Raw genomic sequence first — 26,153 nt, forward strand, 5'->3', positions numbered from 1 at the left:
TCCTTAACATGGTTCCATAGTGTAGTGGTTAGCATTTTTGTTTTACACACATTGTATCCTTAAGTGGCAGACAGTGGAGCCCTCTCATGTCTCTTTTTGTAAGGACACTAATCTCATCATGGGGGCTCCTCTTTCATGACCTAATTACCTCCCAAAGGCACCATCTCCAAATATCACCACTTTAGGGATTCAGGGTTTAGCATATGAATTTGGGGGAACACAAACCTTCAGTTTATAACACACAGTAATGTGCTGTATTATGCTAAAGGGGAAGGGATCCATAAGGAAGGCTAATAAGGAGGAAGGTATGGGTATGGTAAGCAGGGGACAAAGGAGAACATCCTTGGTGGTCCGAAGAATCCCAGTTATTTCCATGCAGTAAGAGGACAGGTGCCCCATGGGCATGATGGGAGTGGTCATTGATGAAGAGGTTCAAGGCAAGTGGTAAAGGCTCGCAGCAGTTCCCATGGGAGTAAGTTGAGCAACAGCAAAGCACAGAATTGGGCACTGGTGTTACAAACACACGAAGACCGTGAATTTATAGTCACCGATCTGCACATTTATGAGGTTTTTTTTATTTTCTGGTAGCACTCAGTATCCTGGGATAATAACAGAGAAGATAAAGGAATCATGGTGTTTTTCCAGAGCTGAGGTTTTTCCAGGAAAGTAAAACAAAAGACAGGGGCTAGGGAGTTGAGAGTATTGGTGACATGGTGATCCAGGAGAGCAACAGCCTAGGTTTTGGGGCTAAGATGAGCTTTGATACAGGATATATCAAAGGACTGGAGGTTGAAATAGAGAACAATGAAGATGGAAAGATAAGAGGTTGTGTCATAATGGCAAGGGTCTGTTGAACTAGATCTTGAATGGCCTTGGAAGAGATATGGGGGAGTGGTAATTTGGAAATGGAGAGGATAATGCATTCCAGGGAAGAGAACCACACATGTAAAGACACATGCAAAGGGAAACGGTAAGAATTTCCATGTAACTAGATCACACATTGCATGGAGGAAAGTGGCATGAGATCAAGATAGAAACCCACATTAAACCAGATTGTGAAGAGCCTAAGGAGTTTGGGCATCATTTCCTCCCAGAGGCAGGAGCCAACGGAAGTTCTCAGATAGTGCTGTCCTGTATGGCTACCGTTGGACAGGTTGTATCCTGCACAGAGTCTCCTTCATGGGGTCTAAACTCTAGATCGAGCTCTGCTTGCCAAGCCATTCATCCTGCTTGCTCTGTAGCTGTTACCCCAGGAGGAAGAGGGTATTTTCTTTAATTCTTCAGCCCCTCAAGAGAGGGAGCCCTCTTTTAATTCATCTACCTGAGGGGCTGCATTCCTTTTTGGGTAGCAGTGGCTCTGTGTAGAGTGATGACCAGACAGACTTCTCAGGGCGACTTTTCTGGCCGTGGTGTAGAAGATGACCCAGAATGAGGAGACACAGTAAACATGGAGAGCAGAACAGTTTTCAGCAGTACAAGGGCTTAACCAAAGGCAGCCAAGAAGAAAGAAAAGGGGCCAGATCCGGAAGCGAACTCTGTAGTACAATTAACACCAGGGGGCTTATGGACATAGGGATGGTGGGAAAGGGAAAAGTTAAAGATGACTCAGATATATTCTCCACTGTGTTCCTAGAATAAAACCTGACCACATTAATGCTCAGTTAACATCTGTAAAATGAAAAAAAAAATAGAGCTTCAAGTAACAAAAACATTTTTAAGGGAAAGATACTGTCTGCTGGGATGGAACCCATAGGAACCCATAAGAAACAGTACCTTTAATTATCTTAAGCTTCCTCAGTTTCGAGTTGTAGAGGTCAGATAACTGGCCTAGAAATTTAGAGTTACTCCAGACAGTTGTTTTCAGCCCTGGCTGAACATTCGAGTCACCTGAAAAGCTTTTAAAAACTCCAGTGCCCACACTGGATCAGTTAACTCCAAAATCCTGGGGATGAAACTTAGACATCAACATTTTTTAAGACAGAGGCTCACTCTGTCACCCAGACTGAAGTACAGTGGTGTGACCATGGCTCACTGCAGCCTCAACCTCCCAGGCTCAGGTGATCCTCCCATCTCAGCCTCCTAAGTAGCTGGGACTACAGGCACACACCACCACATCTAGCTAATTTTTATTTATTTATTTATTTTTATTTTTTATTTTTTTGTAGAGATGAGGTCTCCCTGTGTTGCCCAGGCTGGTCTCAAACTCTTGGCCTTAAGAAATCCTCCCACCTCAGCCTCCCAAAGTGCTGGGATTACAGATGTGAGCCACTGTGCCAGTCCAGACATCAACATTTTTTAAAGCTCCTGGGTTGGTTCCTATATATAACAACTGCTCTCATGGAATTTGCAATCTCTATTCTAGATTTCTAGACGTGATCAGTAATATAGCATAGATAAGAGGTGGATCAGAGACAGGGCAGAATGGTTTAACTTATTTGACCATCTTGTCACAACGGAAATCAATCATCCATTTCTTACAAAATCCTTTTACATAGTGACCAGTTCTTCAAAATTAATTTCTACATCTTGACAAAACATCAAGAAATTCATTATGTGGCTTCATTGATTTTTAGGAAACTGAATTATGGGCAAGATATGTTTTAAAAAAACAGAGCATTTTAAAATCATTACTTAAAGAGTAAATAATGCACAGGCTTGGAAATTATTTTAAGACCCCCTCATTTGCTGCTAAGGTTATGTGTGTACCAGGTGTCAAAAAGACCAAATGCTATAGAAAAATAAAAGGAATGGTTTAAAAATAATTTAAGGGTCAGAATGAAGATATTTTGCATAAATTAGAAAGGTGGTACACAAAAATAAAGAAAGCAAAACAAAACAAAAAACCCTAGGGCCTAGACCTCGGTTCTAGGCCTGGCCTTTCCCCCTAAATATTGCACTGAAACTTAGAGGCCACCTCACCTCACTGAGCCTCATTTTCCTCACCTATAATGAGCATTCTCACCCTGGTGAGTTTCAGTCCTCTCTAACAGCCAAACATTCTCTAATTCTATCATTGGTAAGTCAAAGATGAGCAGGCTAAAAGTAATTTAAGCCTCACCATTCTTGATATGAAGGCAAGAGGAGCATCGCTCACCAAAGAGAAGTCAAGGACCCACCCCAGGCCACAGCTGTTTTTATTGATCCACAAAGGATAAGAATTTCAGAGTAAAGTCTGGAAACTTTTGTAGTCATTTAACTATTTCTGTTAAATCACATAATAAAATATTGAGCCTTGTATTTTGTATATCTTTGTATTTTTATTTCACCTTTTTAGTAATCAATTTTTATTATAGTTTATAATAGTGTAAGTCCACAGCAAATTAGAAATTTAAAAAATTTCGTCTTTCACCGTGGATAGTTTGGAATACACTGAGCTGGAGAACCATAATTACATTTTAACATCAATGTAAAAGTGCACACAGAAGGGAAAAAAGCAAATGCAGGCAAATTAATTTTTACCTTGTCCATTTTGAATTTTATTTTAGAGGCCCATTTCATTTGGTCTTAGATCATTGCTATTAAAAGTTATTTTCTGCTACAAGTTTATATGAACTGCTAGAGGCTTTTTAAAAGAAAACAGCCTGTATTAGAAAACAGGTGGTAAGGGGTTGGTTTTCTAGTACTAGGTCATTATCTAAGAGGAATTACAATATGATATGTCAGGTAGCACAGTAAAGTTATTAATTCCTGTTGGAAAAGATAGGTACTTTCCTTTTTTTTTTTTTTTTTTTTTGAGACAGAGTTTCGCTCTTGCTGCCCAGGCTGGAGTGCAATGGTACAACCTCAGCTCACTGCAACCTCTGCCTCCTGGGTTCAAACGATTCTCTTGCCTCAGCCTCCCAAGTAGCTAGGATTACAGGTGCCCACCACCATGCCCGGCTAATTTTTGTATTTTTAGTAGAGATGGGGTCTCACCATGTTAGCCAGGCTGGTCTCAAACTCCTGACCTCGGGTGACCCACCTGCCTCAGCCTCCCAAAGTGCTGGGATTACAGGCGTGAGCCACCATGCCCAGCCAGGTACTTTCCTTTTTAAGAAAAGAATTAAGTCACTCCCTTTTGATTGGAAATGGCTAATCATAGGGTCTCAAGCTATTAACATAGAGACACCCTTGTTTAAAAATAAGGAAGGCTGCATAATGAGGTTAGTTTTCCCACGATTATGCAGCTAATAAATAGGAAAGTCTAGGTTCCCACCCAAGATGCTCTTCTCAGGCTTGCCTGTGCTTTCTCTGCTGCCCTAGTCTCCTCCACCATAAAAAGTGTTCAGGTGGGAACCAGAGAGTGAATGCTTGCATAAGCCTCACTTCCAGGTGCTTGAAATAGGGTAACAAATATTAAAAATAATGTGGAGTGCTTATGAATCACCTTAATATGTAAATGACTATGTTCTATTTAGAACTTTCTGCAGATAAACAAGATCAATGTTTGTTCTGAAGTGATTTGCACATCACACAGAAAAATATGAGAGAAAATCTATGCTCTCCACACCATATGTCTTGATGTCGAGACTGGTTTGATCTGTGTTACCAATAGACATGCCCCAAAATCAAACCACCTTGATCCTTTTAGGAAATAAGTAGGATATCAAATTTTAAAAAGTGAATATTCCTGAGAAATATCAAGTCTTTGCAGAGATTCTATAATCACTGTGAGGAATCCAGAAACTGCATTGATCAGTTTAAAACATGGCTGTTCAGTGAACTTAATGACTGTGCTATTTCACAGGAATGTTTGCCAAAAAAAATGAAATTGTTTATCAATTACTTGACTTTTTTATCTAGACAACGCCAGAAAAATCCAGATTTTTGGAATATGGACAATGCAAAAAAATTTTAGTCTATATTTATGGCATTGTCTAGTCTTAGCTTAAGAACACAGCATTTACTTGGCTTCATTATTTACTGTTCACTAACAGATAATAAAATTAATAGCAATTTGGGGGTGGTGCCATACTCTGAAACAATTAATAAAATATTTTCTCTTCTTTGCACATTATTGTGATTTTTTAAAGGCAAAGAGTGAATGATTCCTCAATTCTTAGCGTCATTGATGTAAAGTCAATATTTGATAAAAGAACCAAGTTATATTGTGAATGAAATCAGCTGGTTAGGTGCAATGGATGTGTCCACTTTAATAAAAGCAATAATTCAGGTTGAAAAGAACTTCATTATCTTTTCTCAAGATAAATTTTAATGGAGGCCTGGTCTGAGAATACAATGCCATAAGTTCTGAATCTTCAGGTTCGTGCAACAAGTCATTTCTTAAGTGACCTTCAGCTGACTACATAAAATCTGAATTGGTCTTGATTAGAATCTGTCCAGCTGTCAGTCTTTTGGCCTCTGAGATACAGAGGGCATATACCCATGATGCTGTGGGGTTATGTAAGAGACAGTAAAGAAATAGGGGGGAAAAAAACAGAATAAAATGTAATTACACAGAGTTTCGTTTAAAACAAAAATTGATTGAGTTCTGCTTAAAGTGGCTTGTTGTTTCCTGTGCCAGGAACTACTGTGCAGGCCCAGCAGGAAGTGTGCTACAGAGCAGGATCACCTTACACCCTCGTTTTATGGTTCATTTCACTTATTTAATGCAATCTGAGAACCTGCAAAAGGAACATGTTAGAAGGAGGGAATAGGCTTTTTGTCTTGTTTTGTTGTTGTTGTTGTTTTAAATTTCTTTGAATCAAAACATTTGTTTTTACAAGGTGCTTAAAGTCCCAGAGAAACAGGACTTCTAGAGTTGCACAGTGAAGACATTTCTCTTTGTCACACAATTTAAAGCAAGACACAAAGTTGAGTTATGTCTAGAGTTGAGTTATGTCTGTTTCCTTTGCTGTCCTACTCACATAAATTTAAGCATAAAGAATTACAACCATGCCCATGAATGGTCTAAATCATTTTGAATTCCATGTAAGTTCCTCCTAGGGTCTCTAATTTGATAGAGAGCCCATGATGTTGTGGGGAATGTTGGAGAAAAGGAATTAATATTTAAGATGTAGAATAGCAATTCATTTGTCAAGCAGGGGAATGAGTTCATTTTACTGTATTGTTTGGAAATGTGTGAATTGAACAGCTGGATTTCCTTGTGGTGGCATTTGCTGCTCCTCACACGCTGTCTGTTTTCCCCCCCAGAGACCTCAGTATGAACAACATCAGTCAGCTGCTCCCGAATCCCCTGCCCAGTCTCCGCTTCCTGGAGGAGTTGTAAGTATCACTGTAGTCTTGATGCATCCAGTCAACACTGGGCACATTCTTGTGTTTGTCTCTCATACTTACTGTGGGAACCAGATAAAACAAGGCAGAAAACCTGTCAGCACCAACAATTTCAGAACATGAGGAAACACTTAGTTGGGAGGGGGCAAAAATAGAATTGCTTATGATTCTGGAAATCAACTTATAAAAGAGTTTACCATAAGGCTACAACTTTCTAAGGTGAGACTGAGCCAAACAAATTAAAATTTTAAAACAAAGCCTGTTTAAAAGAGCTGGATAGCTCTTTGGAAATAGTTAAGCAGCAGGATATTAAAAGTTTGAATACTGGTTCATGTTTATTAAAATCGCAAGTAAAGCTATAATCAAAACCAAAAACTGCTGCTTGGTTCGGCTTATGACAGGGAGAATTGAGTCCACATTGCATAGCACCAAAACTTCTTGTCCTAATCACTTTTAATTACTATTTCCCTACTTTTAAATTTAGCTTCCCTCAAGGCTTCAGTAGAAAAATGTGAAATCCACAGAAGATTTAAAACTGGGCTCTTCCAAACACTAAAAATAAAAACTAAAAAAGGAGGAAGCTAAAATTAGTTAATGATACACAGAGGAATTTTGATTAAGTCTAGTAACCACTTTTCAGAAGATGAAAAAGAACTGTATAAATCAAAAATCTGCATTTAAAAATTCATTTGATCCTCTTACGCTTTTGAATGATGGGGATAAGGAGGTGATACCCCATCACAGCCCTAGTGTAGAACGTTTGGCACCATCAGTTGAGTCAATCCTCTGACTGTTGATTAAAGGAATTGTTTAGGTAATGACCTCTTTTGAAAATATTTTCTTTATAAATCCTGAAGTCAGAGTCCAATTTGGGGAGTAATTTAAATTGTTAATGCACCACAGAATCCACCATGGGAGGTGGAAAGAATGTTTCATCATAACCAAATTACACTACGTTGACCATTTTCTCAAGAGAATAAGAGGATAACATTTTGAAATTTCTCCCCTCTGGAGTTTTATCTATATTTATTTTTGATGGCATTATATTTTATGAAATGCTATTGTTTTACTACCAAAATCAGTTGCATGTGATAAAATTGGTATCAAGGGTTATGGTAGGGAATCTTAGATTTCTAGATTGTATAGAAGGTTTTGTCATTCATGGAATAGATTTTCACTCTAGGTCCCAGGCCTTTTTTTTCCATCTTCTCTTTTGTCTCAGGACATTTCCATTGCTAAGATTTAACCTTCATAGGAGCTGGAACAATGTCTGTCTTAGTCATGGCTGGTACATAATAAATAATCTGTAAATTTTTAATGAATAAACTAATGAGAAAGCAAAATATGTAAAAGGAGTTTCTTACACATGTCAACTCCCTAAGAAAAAGTAACAGATTTTCATTGACATTAGTCAACATTTTTAAAGGTTATTTTAAATAATTTTCAAACATCAGAATTTTAAAAAATTACATCCATCTTGTTCTCCCTATACTTCCACAATTAATATAGAATAGACAGCCCTGTTTACCCCCATATTTCTAAGGTATGCCCTTCCTATCCTTTTCCCTTTAATTCCCATATAATATCTCATGGCAAAATGCTTCCCTTCTCCCTCAACACACACCTCAACTTTAGACCACAAGCTGAATCAATAAATAATTCACTTCCCCAAGGACTTTGTTTAATAGATTTCCTCCCTCAGTGACCCAACTCATTCAAAATAACTCCTCTTTCTTCATGAGGTGAATATTAATTCTGTTCTAAGGCCAGTTTTTAAAAAGATAGTTGAAAAAAAATCACAAAAAAAGCAATGGTGTTTGCGGAGAGAACTACCATTTGAAAATGCTACTATTAATACTTTTCTGCCTTGTCTTATTTTTATCTCTCTGGAAACTTCATCAAATATCTTGACCATAGAATCACAAAATTTCAGAAATAGAGGAGACCCTTTAAAGACTATTCATTCCATTGCCTCATTCTGTTCTGGAATTCTTTCTGCTAAGCTGGCTGACTTGCTGAATTTAAAATCAAGACTGCTTTTCCATATATAATTCTGTGCTGCACCTAACTGATGTCTTAAAGACATCATTATTCATTTAGCGGCAAAAGAAGTTAGTATTTATAAAACCTGGAAAAATGATCAGCTCTTCTTGGTTTATTCCTTTGTTCCCAAAGCTAAATTTAGGGGTTTGGGGAGGTTCTATTTTTTTTGTTTAAAAAATATCCCTTTAACAGAACATTTTTTTTATGCTGTTGATTGTTTCTGTTAGACATATGCTTAAGTCTATATTCTCTTTTAGGCTATACAATCTTCAAAAATAATAATATAAGTGCAGTAACAACAATAATAGGTTACTGTGTGCCAATCACTGTTGAAAGTGCTTTACACACATCATTTCAGTGAATTATAACAACCCCAAAAAGATAGATATTATTATTCCCAGTTAACAGATAAGAAAACTTAAATACAGAGAAAATAAGGAACTTACCCAACATAATGGAGTTGGTATGTATCAGAGCCAAGATTCAAACCTAGGTCAAAGCTAAGATTCAAAATGACTTTCAAAGCCATGCTTGGAAAGTGGAGGGACGGTTGGAATTGTGCATGGTTTATTTGCGCTTTTTTTTTCTCCAATAGCACCTAGCACTGTGATTTCACAGTAGTTTGCATAGTTGAACACTTTTAAATGCTCTATAAACTGAGTTGTGTAATGATCAGTGTGTATATATGTGTCTGTGTCTGTGCATGTGTCTGGGAATGTGAAAGAAAGCAATGAAGAGCTGTCTTCCCAGGAGGAAGAGATTGGATATTCAGGTTATTAATCTACGACTATGATATACTATCTATGAGAAAAGTATCATCAGAACTTTCAGGTGTAGAATTTCACCAATCTAGCATTGTTCAATAGGTCCAAAATAGTCTTCGATAATATTTTTTACATGTAAGTACATATACTTAAGCACCATGTTTATGCAGTATATATTTTACTTGAACTAATAAACGACCACCCATACAGCTAGAAATGTTAACTCTCTCTTTCTCTCTCTCTCTCTCTGGGTGTGTGTGTTTGTGTGTGTGTTATGACAATTAGGACACTATGAAAGTGTTAAGTCTTTCATTCAGCTTATTCAGCTCATTTTTGTGCTTTATCTCTTTATACGTTAAATAGGAAACTGCCACTGACACTATCAATAATATTAAGAAACCTCCCATCATAAAACTCAGTCTTTAAAAATCACTATCAGCTGGGTGAAATGGTTCACACCTGTAATCCCAGCACTTTCGGAGGCCAAGGCGGGCAGATCACGAGTTCAGGAGATCGAGACCATCCTGGCCAACATGGTGAAACCTGTCTCTACTAAAATACAAAAAAAAAAAAAAAAATTGTTGGGAGTAGTGGTGGGCACCTGTAGTCCCAGCTACTCGGGAGGCTGAGGCAAGGGAATCGCTTGAACCCAGGAGGCAGAGGTTGCAGTGAGTCGAGATTGGGCCATTGCACTCCAGTCTGGTGACAGTGCGAGACTCCGTCTCAAAAACAAACAAAAAAAATCACTATTAATAAAGCCACATTATCACTCTTCCCCTTAGCTCTAATTACCGGATATATCATTTCTCTCATTTAATTCCTTTAACTATGTTATAAACTGTGTAGATAGCCATGGTTCATCTCTCATCCATGGCTAAGCCTTAACAAAGGTGTCAAAGTTCAAAATCCTGTAAGAATCAATAAAGCGCTAGAGATATACACTGACTTAATGTTTAAAAAAGCAAGTAACTCAGCCGGGCACAGGGGCTCACACCTGTAATCCCAGCACTTTGGGAGGCCAAGGTGGGTGGATCATGAGGTCAAGAGATCGAGACCATCCTGGCCAATATGGTGAAACCCCGTCTCTACTAAAAATACAAAAATTAGCTGGGTGTTGTGGCGCGCGCCTGTAGTTCCAGCTACTCAGGAGGCTGAGGCAGTAGAATCGCTTGAACCTGGGAGACAGAGATTGCAGCGAGCCAAGATGGTGCCACTGCAGTCCAGCCTGGTGATAGAGTGAGACTCAGTCTCAAAAAAAAAAAAAAAAAAAAAAAAAGCATTGTAACTCTTGATTGAATGATGAGTTACAGAAAGTATTTCAGAAGAACAGCTATTACAGAAAATTGTCTTCCTCTCTCCTTCCTGACATTCTAGAACACTTACTACCTATGCCGCAAGTTTTTGACACATTTCAGTCTTGTTTTTTATTTGTTTAGTTTAGTTTTGCTTTGTTTTGTTTTGTTTTTGTGACTCTACAAGGTGACCAGATATGCAGAGGCCAATTGTCCTTCTGGTGGCAATGTGCCCGTGCATAGAGAAGGGGAGTCTTTTTCTTTTGCAAAAAGAAAGAAAAGCAGGTCGAAATTAGGGAAGCTGTGCTGTATAGAAAGAAAAGCTCAGAATCTAGATTCAGAAGCCCAGGATTCCCATCCTGGCTCTGCCACTTACTAGCTGATAATCCACTTAATGCTCACTAGGCCTCAGAGGAGAATGGTGCTGTCTGCCTTTTAAGGTGTTTCCAAGAATCAAATGAAAGGATGATGAAAGAACGTTGGTAAACTATATTCTGTATATACAGTTGTATTAGTAAAATGAAAACACCTTCAAAAAGATTTTAACCCCCTCTTTTCTTTTTTCATGAGCCTGATTTTGCAGGAATCTCAGGGATCCTGGACTTGAAAAACTGTTTCCAATTCTGAGCTTTAATGGATATAGGCAACGATTGCAGATAGTTCTTTACTATTTTAATAACCCGAGAAATCATTGCATTTCCCTCCAGCAGTATCTCTCCTCCTTCTATTTACTCAGTTCTAGGAACTTCCGTTAACGCTTGCTATGTAGACAAATAAAAGATCCTACATTTGGGCCATCAGAGTGTAGTAGAGATGTTGGGAGCTAATGGCAGATGGTGACTATTACTGGCGTCTACAAGTTACATTAAACTTAGCTTGGTAGTCTGACTAAATAAGGAGGGGGGAATGAATTGTTACCATTTAAAATTGTCCAAGTTAAAGGCCTTTATTTCCAAGTAGTATTTTAAAATCTTCCCAGATTCTAGTGCTATTGGAATCAAATACTCGATTTAGAAAAGAAACATGAGAAGCTCTAGGGGGGTCTGTTTTTAAGTTACTATTGTTCCCTGGAACCGTTTGCTCATATTATGGTTGGACATGACGAATCTCTATATAAATAGTAGATATCTATTATTACAGATGAAATTTGTAATGAGAGATCACTAAACTTCCTGAAAGCATAATCTAGGCTTGTTACTTCTACTTCCCCAGCATGTTACTGAAAATAGCATCTGTATAGCTGTCCTGCCTGTCTTTTGAGATTTTTTTCTTCCTGAGGATCAAATGAAACAATGATCAAAGAACTTTGGTAAACTATAATCCACATATTGAGTTGTGTTCATAAAATGAAAACATCTTCATGCCCATGAATAATCTTCAGGCCCCTTGGCCTTCTCACAGTGATCGTCTCCTGTCTTCATAGATCTGCCCATTGATTATAAACACTGCCTCCTTGAAACTCAAGTGTTATTTCACGGCAGTTATTTTGTATGGGTAGTCTTCCAAATGACTATCCATCCAGCTAGATATAGACATTTAGATATCGGTCATTGTGTATATATATATGTTTGTGGTGTATATCTTTTGTTATGACAATGAAGCCACTGTTTTGAAAGTGCCCTACCTCTCTGCCTCCTTTTTCTCCTTAGCATTCCATTCTCCCCCACCACCTATAAAATGTAGACATCCCTCATATATTTCCACTTAACTTTATTGTCTCCTTTCTCTATACTTCCTCCATTCACATATTTATGAAGCCACTAAGAACATAAGAGCAAATACGACTTGCTGTGTTTGTTCCATTCATTCATTCAGCAAGCCCCTGCCCTCAGGAAGTTGTCAATTGAGTGGAGGAGACAGATAATAAGCAAGGACACAACTGCATATGATATTTGCTAATTGTGACAAGAGCAGTGAATAACACAAACATGGTATAGATAAGGAACAAATAACAAGGAGTGAGAAGGAGGGAAGGCCTAAGAAGGTGATGTCTAAACTGATGAGAAGGTGGAGGAGGGACTGGGAGCCTGGAGCTGAGATACAGTATTTCAAGCAGGAGAACAGTGTGAGCAGAGGCCTTAGGTGGGAAGAACGTGATGTGTTTGTGGAGCTGCAAAAAAAATCAGTATGGCTGGAGCAGAGTAAGAGAGAGGGAAGTGAGGTGGATGCAGCTGGAGAGGAAGGAAAAGACCAGATCGTGCAGGGCCAGTTAAGCCATGTATGGAATTCAAATAAGAGCAATGGGAAGCCATTGGAGGATTGTGTGCAGCTAGTGAACCAACAGGATTTATAAACCTAAAAGATTTCTCTGATTTCTGCATGCAAAATAGATTGGGGAATTATGGAAGCCGAAGGACCTGGTAGGAGGCTACGATAGGTGTCTGGGCGAGAAACTCATATAGATGACCCCCAAATCTATGTTTCCAGACCAGATCTCTTTTGCCTTTGATTGCTAGACCAATGGTTCTCAATATATTGTCCCTGGACAGTGGTGCACTGGCACCACCTTGTTATTTATTCTTTATCTAAACTTGTTCTTTATGAGTTGGCTTTTGAGAAATACAATTCATGTGCCCCCACCCCAACCTGGTAAATCAGGAACTCTGGGGGTTAAACTCAGAAAACTGCCTTTAACAAGCTCTCCAGGTGATTCTGATGCATGGTAAAGCTTGAGGACCACTACTCTAGGCTAGTGGTTCTCGAAATCTAGTGACATCAGGATCACCTGTAGTGCTTGTAAAACCACGCATCTCTGGGCCCCATCACAGAATTTCAGCAGGCCAGGGATTGGGAGGAGAAAGTCAAGTGGCTTTATAAACCACTTCCAGGTGATGTCAATACTGCTCGTTTAGCTACCACATTTTGAAAATCCCCAACTACTTAAGTGACACCTCCACCAACTATCCATCAATACTTCAAAACTCAACATGTGCAGAACCAGATTCATTCATGTGTCACCTGCCCAGCCGCCCACAAGCATTTTCTCCTACCTTGCCTGCTTGCCACCAGCATTCTTATTATCCAGACTTGTGCCTGCCCTGTCATTTTCTTCTCTTACCTCCTATATTCAGCCAGTTTTCAAGTCTTAAAGCTCATAATTCCACCTTGTCTTTCCTGTTTGTTCACTCTATTTTGTCACCACCTAGTTCAGGTTCTCATTGTCTCATTTGGGTAACTCGTTTTTGGTTTGTTTGTTTTGTTTGTTTGTTTGTTTTTTAGACAAAGTCTCACTCTGTCGCCCAGGCTGCAGTGCAGTGGCACGATGTCAGCTCATTGCTACTTCCACCCCCTGGATTCAAGCAATTCTCTTGCCTCAGCCTCCCAGGTAGCTGGGATTACAGGCACCCGCCATCATGCCCAGCTAATTTTTGCATTTTAGTAGAGATGGGGTTTCACCATGTTGGCCAGGCTGGTCTCGAACTCCTGATCTCAAGGATCCACCTGCCTTGACCTCCCAAACCGCTGGGATTACGTGAGTGAGCCACCGCGCCTAGCCTGGGTACCTGTTAAAATCCATTAACAAATCACCTGTCCTAATTCTGTCAACAATTAATGAATTAATCATTGTTTCTGGGGATGGAGACCATGAAGGTCTTCAGGTGATCTTATAAATATTAAACAGAGAGAACTACTTCAAAGTATCCCATCCTTGAATATGCATTAGAATCGCCTAGCACACTTTTTAAAGCTACTAATGACCAGCGGTTGTCCCCAGAGATTCCGATTTAATGGGTCTCACTGGGAACCCAGACATCTTTTATTTCAAAGCTGTACAGGTGGGCTGAGAACCACTGGAATATATGAAAGCACCCCAACAGACAAAGGCAGTCAGGGACTCATCAGTTGGTTGAACATAGGGACTAAAGGGGAGGTCTAAAGATGAGAGATGACTCTGAATAGGGTTATGAAATCGGGTGTCAGGAGCTGGTGAAGGACAAAAACAGGGAATTCAAGGGAAGAACTGATTTTGGAGGCAAGAGGATGCCCAGTTCTGGATATACTAAGTGCAAGGAGGCAGCAGGACATCTAAATGGGAATGTCAGTAACGTTGTTGGAATGTAAGTGTGAAGCATGATGGGTCTGTTCTAGAGATAATGATTGGAGAGTGGTTTACAAAGAGGTGATGGTTGAAGGTGCTGGGTGGATGAGAACCCTGAGAGAGAAACTTGAGAGAGGCTCTGTGTTTCCCAGTGTAGTTTTTCAATCTACAATAAAATCACTGGAGCTGCTTATTAAAAATGCAGATTTCCAAGTCCTTCTCCCAGAATGTCTGGTTCCCTGGGTCAGGATTGGGGCCTTGGGGATCTGAATTTTTATGGCTTCTAAAGTGATGGCAATGCACACTAAAATTTGAGTACCACTAAGCAGAGCAGAAAAAAAGAAAAGGTGTGAGGACAGAAACTTGAGGAACATCTATGGTTGAGCAATGAAGACTAAAAGAGAGCCTAGCAAAAGGAAGAAGAGATGACCAGTCATAGTGGTAAGAGTAGTAAGATTGTGCTGAATCTGAAAGGCAGTGAGAGGAGTTTAAATAAAAAGCAATGGGCAATGGTTTTCTGATAGCCAATGCCTCAAGTGATACAGCCATTGTGTCCCTGCATTTTCCTGTTTTAGGTCAGGGTTGCTCCTGACCAACCTAAGCTTAAGACCAGCCTTCCTTTAACCAGAGTAATAATTAAAAACCCCCAATTTGGGGTCAAAATGCTATATTTGAACCAAACTTTCTTCTGTGAACTTTTCTACATAGTGTGAGCAAATAACCTCCCTTTGGCCCATTCTGCCATCTGTAAATGGAGATGATGCCAATTGTTTAATGTGATTGTTATAAACAAATAGCATCATGCCCATAAAGTACTGAATATTGTGCCCTAGCATTTATGGACTGTTTGATAAATGGTAGCTACTATTTATATGTCCAAAAGCACTATATGTGGCATATTGAAAGTGCTCTAAGAAATTGCTGAATTTAAGTTTGATATGTAACAAAGAAGGAATATTCCTCAGCTGTTTCTAGTCTGGTTTTGTGACTAGCTATCTTGGAATAGTTATGCCAGATCTGAAGCAACTGAGGCAGTATGGCCAGCTGCCTTTGGAAACAAGATCAAACGATCAATAAATATCAGTTGAGCTCCATACTCTGTGCATGCAATAAGACTCTTGAGCTTAGGAGTCTATAATCAGACTACTTATAAAAGGGTACCAAATGAGCTAGGCAGAGTGGTGCGTACCTGTAGTCCCAGCTACCAGAGAGGCTGAGTTGGGAGGATGGATCACTTAAGCCCAGGATCTTAAAAAACAACAACAACAACAAAAACAAACAAACAAACAAAAATAACACCTTTAAAAGAAAGGGTAGAGGGTAGAAAATCAACCATTATAGGCTACATTGTATAGAATGTATCTTATAGGAGAGCTGTTAACCGAGATGGTTAAGGAAGATTCCATAAAGGAATTAAAATTGAACTTCCTTAGTCTGGTTAAAGAAACCACAGGGGCAGGGCACGGTGGCTCACGCCTGTAATCCCAGCACTTTGGGAGGCCGAGGCAGGTGGATCACGAGGTCAGGAGATCGAGACCATCCTGGCTAACACAGTGAAACCCCGTATCTACTAAAAACATAAAAAATTAGCCGGGCGTGGTGGCGGGCGCCTGTAGTCCCAGCTACTCAGGAGGCTGAGGCAGGAGAATGGCTTGAACCCGGAAGGCGGAGCTTGCAGTGAGCCCAGATCGCGCCACTGCACTCCAGCCTGGGCGAAAGAGCAAGACTCCCTCTCAAAAAAAAAAAAAGAAAGAAAAAAAGAAACCACAGGGCCCTATGCACATTAAAGTATCTCCTTATTGACTTGAAAGAGTTCATTTACTCAGTCCAGTGGTCTTAGTCCTTAACAATTCTTAGCCCATGAACCTTGAAATCTGAATGTTTTTATTATATCAAATAATGAAAGCAAAATGCACAGCTCATGAATACACAGTTTAAGAAAGAAAGCTTTTTGGCTGGATTTGACAAATTGGATATGCTTAACACAATGACGGCATCACTTGAGGCATTGGCTAGAACAATGGAAGGGGGTAGATACAGTTTTTGAAAATTGCAATTTTTCAAGGAGTATTAGGAAAGATATTTTTTCTCAAATGGGGAGAAAATTAGTTGATGAAATGTCATGATTCTTATATCCAAGGCACTAAATTGGCTTCTGCAAATCTTACCAAAGATGAACACAAGAAGGTTAAGCTCTTACGTATCTGGTCCCATCTGACCAGCAGGGGCACCTTGTAAAAGAAAACCTACCATGGTGGGCTCAGTCAATTGCTGCTGTCATGCATTACTGCAAGTTGAGGCAAATTACATCTTACTATAAGTTTCATCATATTTCTAATTCTTGATATGACTCAGATACTTGGCTCCTGTATTGATAAACCAAAGCCAAACCTATAAATGTAGTTGGCCCTAAAAGCAACAAAAGCAAATTAATTAATTGAATTGAATCATGAATATCAATTTTAATAGACTATTATACTGGTTTCATCACTTATGTATCTTTTGAGAGTCACTAATTATATTATCATAGTTTTGGCTAACTTTATTTAGGACAATATTTTTCCAAATGAGAATATTTTGATACTTTATAAAAGAATAAAAGACTTTTCAGAAATTTTACATTTAAATGATAGTTTAACAGCAGTTAATTGTTCAGGTAAATTACAACTCCAAAGAGTGGGAAAATTCAGAAATAGTCACAGAACTGCTGAAATCAATATTGGAAAATCACAGAGAAGGAAAACAGTACCAGAAAACTGGAAATAGGCAAATATCATCCAGATTTTTAGAATGGAAAAAGAGGGAAAACTATTACCATTAAGCCTGATAGCCCTCATCAAATTTCTAGAAGAAATTAATTTAACATTTATAGACTGTATGCCCTCTCACTCTCGTGTGCTTTGTAAAAGTTAGAAAATAAAGCGGCAATTTCTAGGAGCCAGCATGAATTTACTAAGTAGTCTGATGAAATGTTTTCTTTTAAATCACAAGAATTATCATGTTCAAGTTCATTCTACTCCAATTATTTAAGTAGCACTGCTATTACATGGCTTCCATGCTCCATAAGAAGACTAGACTACATTTAAATAAATAAGGAAAGCAACAATGTTTTTCACTTTCCATAAAACCTTTTGGAGCTTTGGTGTCTTCATCTACAAAATGTGGACAATAATAATCCCTGACCTATCTCTATGATATAAATTATGAGAGAGTGCTTTTTACAATGTTAATGACATGTTATAATAAAGTAATCTTACAATAAACAAGAAGAAAAAGGGAGGAAAAGGAGAATGAGGGAGGAAAAAATAACAGTAGGAAATGCAAGTGTAATTTTTTTTTAAATTTGAGCGTAGAAAAAGACCTTCATGAAAGAACCGTTTCATTTTTTTTAATTTAAGGGAAATAAGGCCCAGGAAAGTTAAGTAACTTGTGTTGTCTCACAGCAAGTTAATGGTGAGAAGAAAGAAAATCAAAAAGGGAAAGAAAAAAATAACTAAATTAGAACTCAAGAAGAAATTTGTGCAAGAACTGACCCAGGAGGTCTGGTAGATCTAGCCAGGCCCCCTCGCTTAACTCTGAAAATGCTACTCAGCCAAGTGGACCCCTGTCGGACCATGGTTTCCTGCACAATAATTTCCCAAGGGTCTCAAATGCAAGGTCAAATGCCCGCTTCCATCCTCAGTACTCCCCAGATCTTGTACACATACCTCTCCCTATGTTTAGAGAGGAAAAATTAGACCTATATACAATTGCTTTGCTCTCATACCTCCATTTTAAAAAGGAAGCTACAAAATATAAAATAAAATCTTTTATATTACTTTAAAGATTCAAATTACTTTAACAATTCAAAGAAAATTGTACATTCTCCAAAATACTGTAGATGGTTTTTACAGCACCAAAACATCTACCTGTTTGATTTATCGAAAAAGGAATGTGTCTATTTTCTCTTGTAACTTAATGGGTTTTTTCTTTTAATAGCAATTAAGTCAGTAAAACTAACAATGGTGGGACAATATGAGTCACATTTGGAGCAATTATTTAAGGGATAAAAACTTTTTAAAATATTTTATGTAGAAAGACAAGTTTTTTTTAATCGAGTTACATCTTGTTACAGAAGTGAAGATAATGAAAGGGACATTGCCATGAAATAATAATTTTAGAAACAGCATTAAAAAAAAAAAAAAACTTCTGACCAAATGTTATGTTGCTCTCTAGGGTTGGAAAATAGTTGTTTAGCAAACTGTTGTAGTTCAAATCATCACAACAAAGGTGTGTGTGTTTCTTACTATTTGTGTATTGTGAACACATTTGAAAGCCTGTTTTATTCCTATGTTTGTATGCATTTCGGTTTCAAAAGTACTAAAGCCACCCCACATGGTAAAGAAATAAAAGGGGAATGATTTCCTTAAATTGTTGTTTTTGTCAATGAGACAGATCTGCCACTAGCCCAGCAAACAGCCAATAGCAGATCATAAATTCCTTTGCTTTGAGACAGACTGCCCTGATAACACAGGTCAGTGGTTCCACAGGTTAGTTCTGAATACAGACTCAGGGGACTGAAAGTCCCTGCCCAAAAAAGAAAACCAATTTGTGTGAAGTGAGTTTCAGGAAATGTAACAGAAAGGCATTCATCCTAACAATAATTTAAACTAATTTAAAAAAATAAAGTTTTTACTTTCTCCTCTTCATTTCCAAAGTCACTGTTTCAAAAACCATCCAGCTACTTGATGATACTGTCACAGCAGTGAGAGCTGATAAACACCTAGTTGAAGGCTATGTTTTAGAGCTCACAAATGCACTGTTGAAGTCCTGACTGTGACCAGTATAGTTAGGGACATTTTGACCAAAATAACAGTTATGAGTCAGTTGAGTCTGATCAATTAAGCTGTCTATCATGGTCAACCAAACCTGAATCTGTCTTAATTCAAAAAGCAACTTTTTTGTATCACATCATGCCCATTTCATTTGCTTCAGTATTATACATTATACATCGCATTTTGGATAACTAATCAAATGCATGTGGATTATACATAATGTAACCATAAGTATAAAACGTTGCTCCTCTTTGACTGCCTACATTCCACCTCGACCCTAGTGGCTCATCAGCTTGGACTTTTCTTCCACACCAAATCCCACCACTTCATGCCACCTCTGCCACTGCTACACTATCCCACCATCTCCCATCTGGAGACTTTAGTCCCTCCTGCGCTTCCACTCTTGACCCCCTGGTCTATTCTCCCCTTTAAAAGGGTCCCATTGAAAATTTTGGCAAACTATGCATCTAACAAAGATCTAATATCCAGCATCTATAAGAAACTTAAACAAATTTACAAGAAAAAAACAAAAAATTAAAAAGTGAGCAAACAGACACTTTTCAAAAGAAGACATACATGCAGCCAACAAGTATATGAAAAAAAAGCTCAGCATTACTGATCATTAGAGAAATGCAAATCAAAACCACAATGAGATACCATCTCACACCAGTCAGAATGCCTGTAATTAAAAAGTCAAAACATAACAGTTGCTGGCAAGATCGTGGAGAAAAAGGAATGCTTATACACAGTTGGTGGGAGTGAAAATTAGCGCAACCATTGTGAAGACAGTGTGGCTATTCCTCAAAGACCTAAAAACAGAACTACCATTCGACCCAGCAATACATTACTGGGTATATACCCAAAGGAATATAAATCATTCTATTATAAAGACACATGAATGCATATGCTCATTGCAGCACGATTCGCAATACCAAAGACATGAAATCAACCTAAATCCCCATCAGAGGTAGACTGGATAAAGAAAATGTGGTACATACACACCATGGAATATTATTCAGCCATAAAAAAGAACAAGATCATGTCCTTTGCAGAAACATGGATGGAGGCCATTATCCTCAGTGAACTAACACAGGAACAGAAAACCAGGTACCACATAGTCTTATAAGTGGGAGCTAAATGATGAGAACACATGGACACATAGAGAAAAACAACACACACTGGGGCCTATCAGAGGATGGGAGGAGGCAAAGGATCCGGAAAAATAACTAATGGGTACTAGGCTTGATACCTGGGTGATGAAATAATCTGTACAACAAACCCCCATTACACAAGTTTACCTATATAACAAACCTGCATATGTACCCTGGACTTAAAAGTTAAATAAATATATAACAAAAGGGTCCCATCAGAAGGACATTTCTAAAACACAGATCTGATCACATTACTCTCTGATCTGAAGTCCTTCCAAAGACCTTTATGGGATGGGCCTGGACACCTCTCCAACCTTACCTCCTGCCATCCTCCTCCTGTTATTCCACTCCAGCCATGCTCGCCTCCTTGCAGCTTCTGGACCACACCAGGCACTCTCTACCTCAGGAATTTTGTCCTACTGTTGTCTTTATATCGATACCTGCATGGTGCAGGCATCTGCTGAAATGCCTACTCAGCAGAGATTTTTCTGACCATCTTATCTGAAATAATAGCACGTCACCGCCACAACCACCACCCATTGCTCTCTATCCCTTTGCCTTGATTTTGCTTTTTTCAGAGCATTTTTCATGTTATATTATTCACTTGAGTTTTTATTTAATGACTATCTTGTCACATTAGAATACCAGCTCCATGAGGTCAGGGGCTTTATCCTGGTATTCACTGCTGTATCACTGTCACCTAAAGTGGTACTAACACAAAGCCGGGCACGGTGGCTCATGCCTGTAATCCTAACACTTTGGGAGGCTGAGGCGGTGAATCGCTTGAGTTCAGGAATTTGAGACCAGCCTGGACAACATGGTGAAACCCTGTCTCTACCAAAAAAAACAAAAAACAAAAAACAAAAAAAACCACAAAAATTAGCCAGGCATGGTGTCATGTGCCTGTAGTCCCAGCTACTTGTGGGGCTGAGGCAGGAAGATTGCTTGAGCTTGGGAGGCAAGGTTGCAGTGAGCCAAGCTTGAGCCACTACACTGTAGCCTGGGTGACAGAGTGAGACCCTGTTTCAAAAAAATAATAATAATAAATAAATATAAAAAATAATAATAATAATAAAGTGGCACCAGCACAGAGCAGGCCCTCAATAAATACCATGGGATATTAAAAAAATAGCTTCAGATGTGGAGGAATTATAACCCTGGTGCATTATTAGTGGGAATATATAAAAGTGTAATCATTTTTCCAATGGTTATGCATAGAACCACCATTTGACCCAAGAATTCCACTACTAGATATATACCCAAAGGAATGGAATCCAGGGACTTGAACAGATATTTGTACACTAATATTCATAGCATCACTGTTCACAAGAGCCAAAAGATGGAAAAACACAACTTTCAATTAACAGATGAAGGGATAAACAAAATGCAGTATATACCTACAATGGTACATTATTCTATCACAAAAAGGAAAGCAATTTTGATATATGGTGTAACATGGTTGGACACTGAAAATATTATGCTTAGTGAAATAAGTCAGATACAAAAAGAAAACATTATATGATTCCACTAATATGAGATACCTAGAAAAAGCAAGTTCATAGACAGAGGATGTAGAATAGAAATTACCAGGGGCTGGAAATAAGGGGAATGGAGGGATATTGCTAATCAGGTATGGAGATTTTGTTGGGGATAATCAAAAATTTGGGTATAGATAGTGGTGATGGTTAGACTACATTGTGAATACATATAATGCTACTGAATCAGAATACTACGCAGCCATAAAAAAGGATGAGTTTATGTCCTTTGCAGGGACATAGATGAAACTGGAAACCATCATTCTCAGCAAAGTAACACAAGAAGAGAAAATCAAACAACGCATGTTCTCACTCATAAGTGGGAGTTGAACAGTGAGAACAGATGGACACAGGGAGGGGAACATCACACACCGGGGCCTGTCGGGGAATGGGGGACGGGGGGAGGGATAGCATTAGGAGAAATACCTAATGTAAATAACGAGTTGATGAGTGCAGCAAACCAACACAGCACATGTATACCTGTGTAACAAACCTGCACATTGTGCACATGTACCCCAGAACTTAAAGTATAATAAAAAAGAAAAATCTCTAGACAGGCAGGCTAGTGTGGGAGGAAAATTTTAAAAATGCTACTGAATCTACACATACAAATGTTTAAAATAGTAAATATTGTTTCACGTATATTTTACCACAGTAAAAATATGCATAGCCAAGACCAGAAAAAAAGATAGCTTGAAAGAATAACATTTCTTCCCAACTTACACTGACTTTTAGGAAAACAGCAACATGCGATGTCTGTGATAGTTCAGGTGCACCAATTGCAAGCTAACAATAGGAAGACGAAAGGGAAATAAAGCAGAGAGACAGAGAATATTGTACATTGAAACAGCTTTGCAAACATGGTGCATTGGGGACAATATCTAGGCAAGTATGATACCATACCTTTCTCTCCTGCAGTGGAGGTTTACCAGCCCAGACAGCTAAATAATCCTTCAATCCTTGACTTTCAGAGGAAACCGCGGGGGTCCATCCTGATTCGATTATTCATCCAAAACAGACTTCAGGGCTTTGGGACAGCTCAGTTCCACAGGGTCATCCAGCAGCCTGGGTTCCTTCTGGTTTTTTGTTGTTCTTGTTTTGCCTTCTGTGGAAGGTTCTCCAAACCAGAATTGTTGATGTTGTCTCACCAGTACCACTTCTGCAGGAAGGGGAAATTGAAGAAATTAAGAACAAGCAATGTCTTTTTAAGGAGGTGATACAGGTGTTTCACATATCACTTTTGATCACAGTTGAGTTTAGTCACTTAATCAGGTTTAGATGCAAGGAAGACTGGAAAATCGGACTGTAGCTGGGTGGCCATGTAATCTGCTAAAATTCTGGGTCGGGAAATTATTCTACAAGGGGAGAATGGATACTGGGGGACAGTCAGTAGTCTCTACTCAACTGATTAGTCAGGCACTACTGGGGCAACCTACTTTCAGACAGTATTCAAGGCCCTATACGGATACCAAGAGAATATCCAGGTTTGAGTAGTTCCCAGTCTTTCATGTGTCATAAGACAAGTACACACTATAACACAAGGTAGACTATAAAATTCATAGTAAGACACAAAGTGCTACCAAAGGAGTTCAAAGTAGAGACACTGACCATCAGAAACTGAGCTGTCCAAATGCTTTCCAAACTGATGGTCAATCTCTCTACTTTGAAGTCCTTTGGTAGCACTGAGGTTGCTTTGAAAAACAGGGAGTGAAAGGAGAGCATTTTAGGTGGAACAAAGGGCTAGAGGGGGGAATGTGGAGGGCATGTCTAAAAAAAGCAAACCTCATAGTCTGGTTCAGTTCTAGCACCCACTAGGGATCAGGGAATTCTCGGAAAAGAGTCTGAGGACTTTTCATTTCTATTTACCTGGCATGAAAACTGACAGAGAGTTTTCGAATAGGGCAGTAATATGGTCAGAGTTGTCTTTATAAAGACCATCAGTGAATATGGAAGGGGTGGGAGTAGGTCGAGACTGAATATGGGGAGACAAGATGGAAGGTCAGAGTTAGTGTCTAAAGAGAGTTTTCTGATAAGACAGTTTTATAGGAAACAAAGAAATAAAATACCTTTGCCCTGGTCAAATATTATGCTGAATTACATGTTAATAACACATATTTATTAAGTGCCAACACCATGCTTAGGCTAGCAGCTCTCAAACCTTTCTGACCATGTATAGGAAGAAACAAATTTCCTCCCCCAATCCATTTTCACAAATATATTTGGAAACAAAGGTTTTTATAAAACAATACTTCAGCCAATTCACTCTGCTGTTTGTCTACTCTATTTTTTTTTCTTAATTTTAGACCAGCCACTAAATTATTTATCACTTGAAAAAACACTTCTTTAGGTACCACGAGATAGGTAGGAGGAATACAATACAGTAGCTATCCAAGTCTTTTAAAAGATTATATCTGTCAAGAGAAGGAAAAACAGGCACAAACACAAATGACTACAAGACAAGGTAGGGAAATCGTGGAGTTTTGGATCTGGAAGGGACCCAAGAAGACATTTTATCTTAACATTTCTTGTAATCAGTGGGAAAGCAAAGCTCAGCAATATTAACTAATTCAACAGCACAAAGCAAGTTAGTGCTGCAGACCCAAGATAAGCAGAGCCTCTTGGAGAGGTCCTAGGACCTTCTTATGTTGCTAATTTTTTTAAGCATAATTTTTTAAAGTGTGTTGTATTTTAATTTTATTTCATTTGCATTGAGTAAATAATGCTTTAAATACACATACCACAAATACTACTCAGAAGTTCTATTCATTTGATAAGCGTAGCATTTCTTTAAATATTCATTTATAGTATATTATCAGTGGTGTGAAGTGGCAATGGGACACACATTTAAAGTTATATAAGAAATGGCTTATTTCAGTCCAGTCAGTGGATCTCTGTGACTGAATTCTCTCTCCTTTAAAGATAGTATCAAAGGTATACATTTGAGGCTCTTAGGTCCTTCAGAAATAAGCACTAGTCAACTGGACCAACAAAATCCTTATCCCCAAATCCCCATCTCCATCATAGTACCCAGCAGGGGGCTGGGTACTATGGCACACCCCTGTAGTTCCAGCTACTCAGGAGGGTGACGCAGGAGGATTGCTTGAGCCTAGGAGTTCAAGGCCAGCCTTGGCAATAAACCATCTCTAAAAAAGAAAAAAAAGAAAAAGAAAAAAGGGCAAAGGTATATTGAGTCCCAGTTCTACTCACCAGTCTCAGATATGATCAGCTCCTCAAAATACTGTGCTCTTTGGAGTCACATTGTTGTTTTTGCATTTTTCATTTTGTCCTTTAGTATATGAGGTTATGGCTTTGATGTGGCTGCCAAAAAAATACTGAATCACATGTTTCAGGTACCACATCTTGTTGGTCTTTTGCACAATTTTTCACCTTGGCTATCTTCTACTTAGAAAAATATTATAAAGTAAACTTCTAAAATTTTACCAGTTAATAATGTCAGAATTTTCCATTAAATAACCCATGTTAATGTCCTTCATACTAATCTCTCTTTGTTTTCAATTTTTTTAAGCATTGCTCTATTAAATCATGTTAAATTAAGGTACTCTATCCTTTTCTGGTAGAGTTTAGAAAAAATTGATTGTGATAGTCTACATTCTTATTTGACAAATTTAGTAAGAAAGTTGGGTATTTTGAGGTATAGTTGCAACAGAAATATTCTAATGTTTATCTAATCTATTTTATCTTACAAAGAATAGTTGTAAAACTCGTGACAGTCACATTTTGACATTACAATTTTTTGCAAATTATCATATGGTGTTAGCATTTGCTTAAAAATTGTTTAAAGGACAGTTTTATATATATGTACATATGGTATAAGCTATTAAATTGTTTATTGTAAAGTAGGTAATTTATTACATTTCTTTTTAGGCACTTTTGCCAACATTTTAATTAGAAATTTATAGATATTTTTTGCAAAATATAACAAAACAAAGTTGTTTACAGTTGCTTTTGATATTTGTGGTTTAAACATAGTTGTATTGCATTTTTTTAACAACTAAATGACTTCCACATGAAGAGGTATGCTCACTCTCTCTCCTCTCCATTGAAACCCACAGACGTCTTGCGGGAAACGCTCTGACATACATTCCCAAGGGAGCATTCACTGGCCTTTACAGTCTTAAAGTTCTGTAAGTAAACTGAGTGTTGTTGGATATATTTCTGATTTTAGTGTCAAATGGCTGCTAATTAACTTGTAAAAGCTGAGTGTCTCTAATACACTATTTAAATCCATGGGATAATTCATCTAAATTCAAGTTTACTTCATTGGTACCATACAGCCATATC

The 26,153-nt window shown here is 38.4% G+C and overlaps 1 protein-coding gene across 6 annotated transcripts in view, besides 1 other annotated feature; it reads left to right on the forward strand.

Annotated features, from left to right (window-relative positions):
* Positions 1-26,153, forward strand: part of LGR5 (leucine rich repeat containing G protein-coupled receptor 5) — a 147,182-nt gene that overhangs the window by 59,353 nt on the left and 61,676 nt on the right. For all 6 annotated transcript variants that reach the window (NR_110596.2, XM_047429800.1, NM_003667.4 and 3 more), the window contains exons 2-3: positions 6,133-6,204; positions 25,925-25,996. Coding sequence is in view for 5 of the 6 variants with exons in the window: in NM_003667.4 (NP_003658.1) it covers positions 6,133-6,204; positions 25,925-25,996 (144 nt within the window). In the remaining variant the exon portion in view is untranslated. The remainder of the gene's footprint in view (positions 1-6,132; positions 6,205-25,924; positions 25,997-26,153) is intronic.
* Positions 22,654-23,155: an enhancer, noted in NCBI's record as "NANOG hESC enhancer chr12:71914915-71915416 (GRCh37/hg19 assembly coordinates)". NCBI's record gives its function as "activates a minimal SCP1, AML or CMV promoter by ChIP-STARR-seq in primed H9 embryonic stem cells {active_cell/tissue: H9 hESC(primed)}" and the evidence as "EXISTENCE:reporter gene assay evidence [ECO:0000049][PMID:30033119]".

The sequence above is a fragment of the Homo sapiens genome, chromosome 12 (assembly GCF_000001405.40).
Source record: "Homo sapiens chromosome 12, GRCh38.p14 Primary Assembly".
In the NCBI taxonomy this organism is placed as follows: domain Eukaryota; kingdom Metazoa; phylum Chordata; class Mammalia; order Primates; family Hominidae; genus Homo; species Homo sapiens.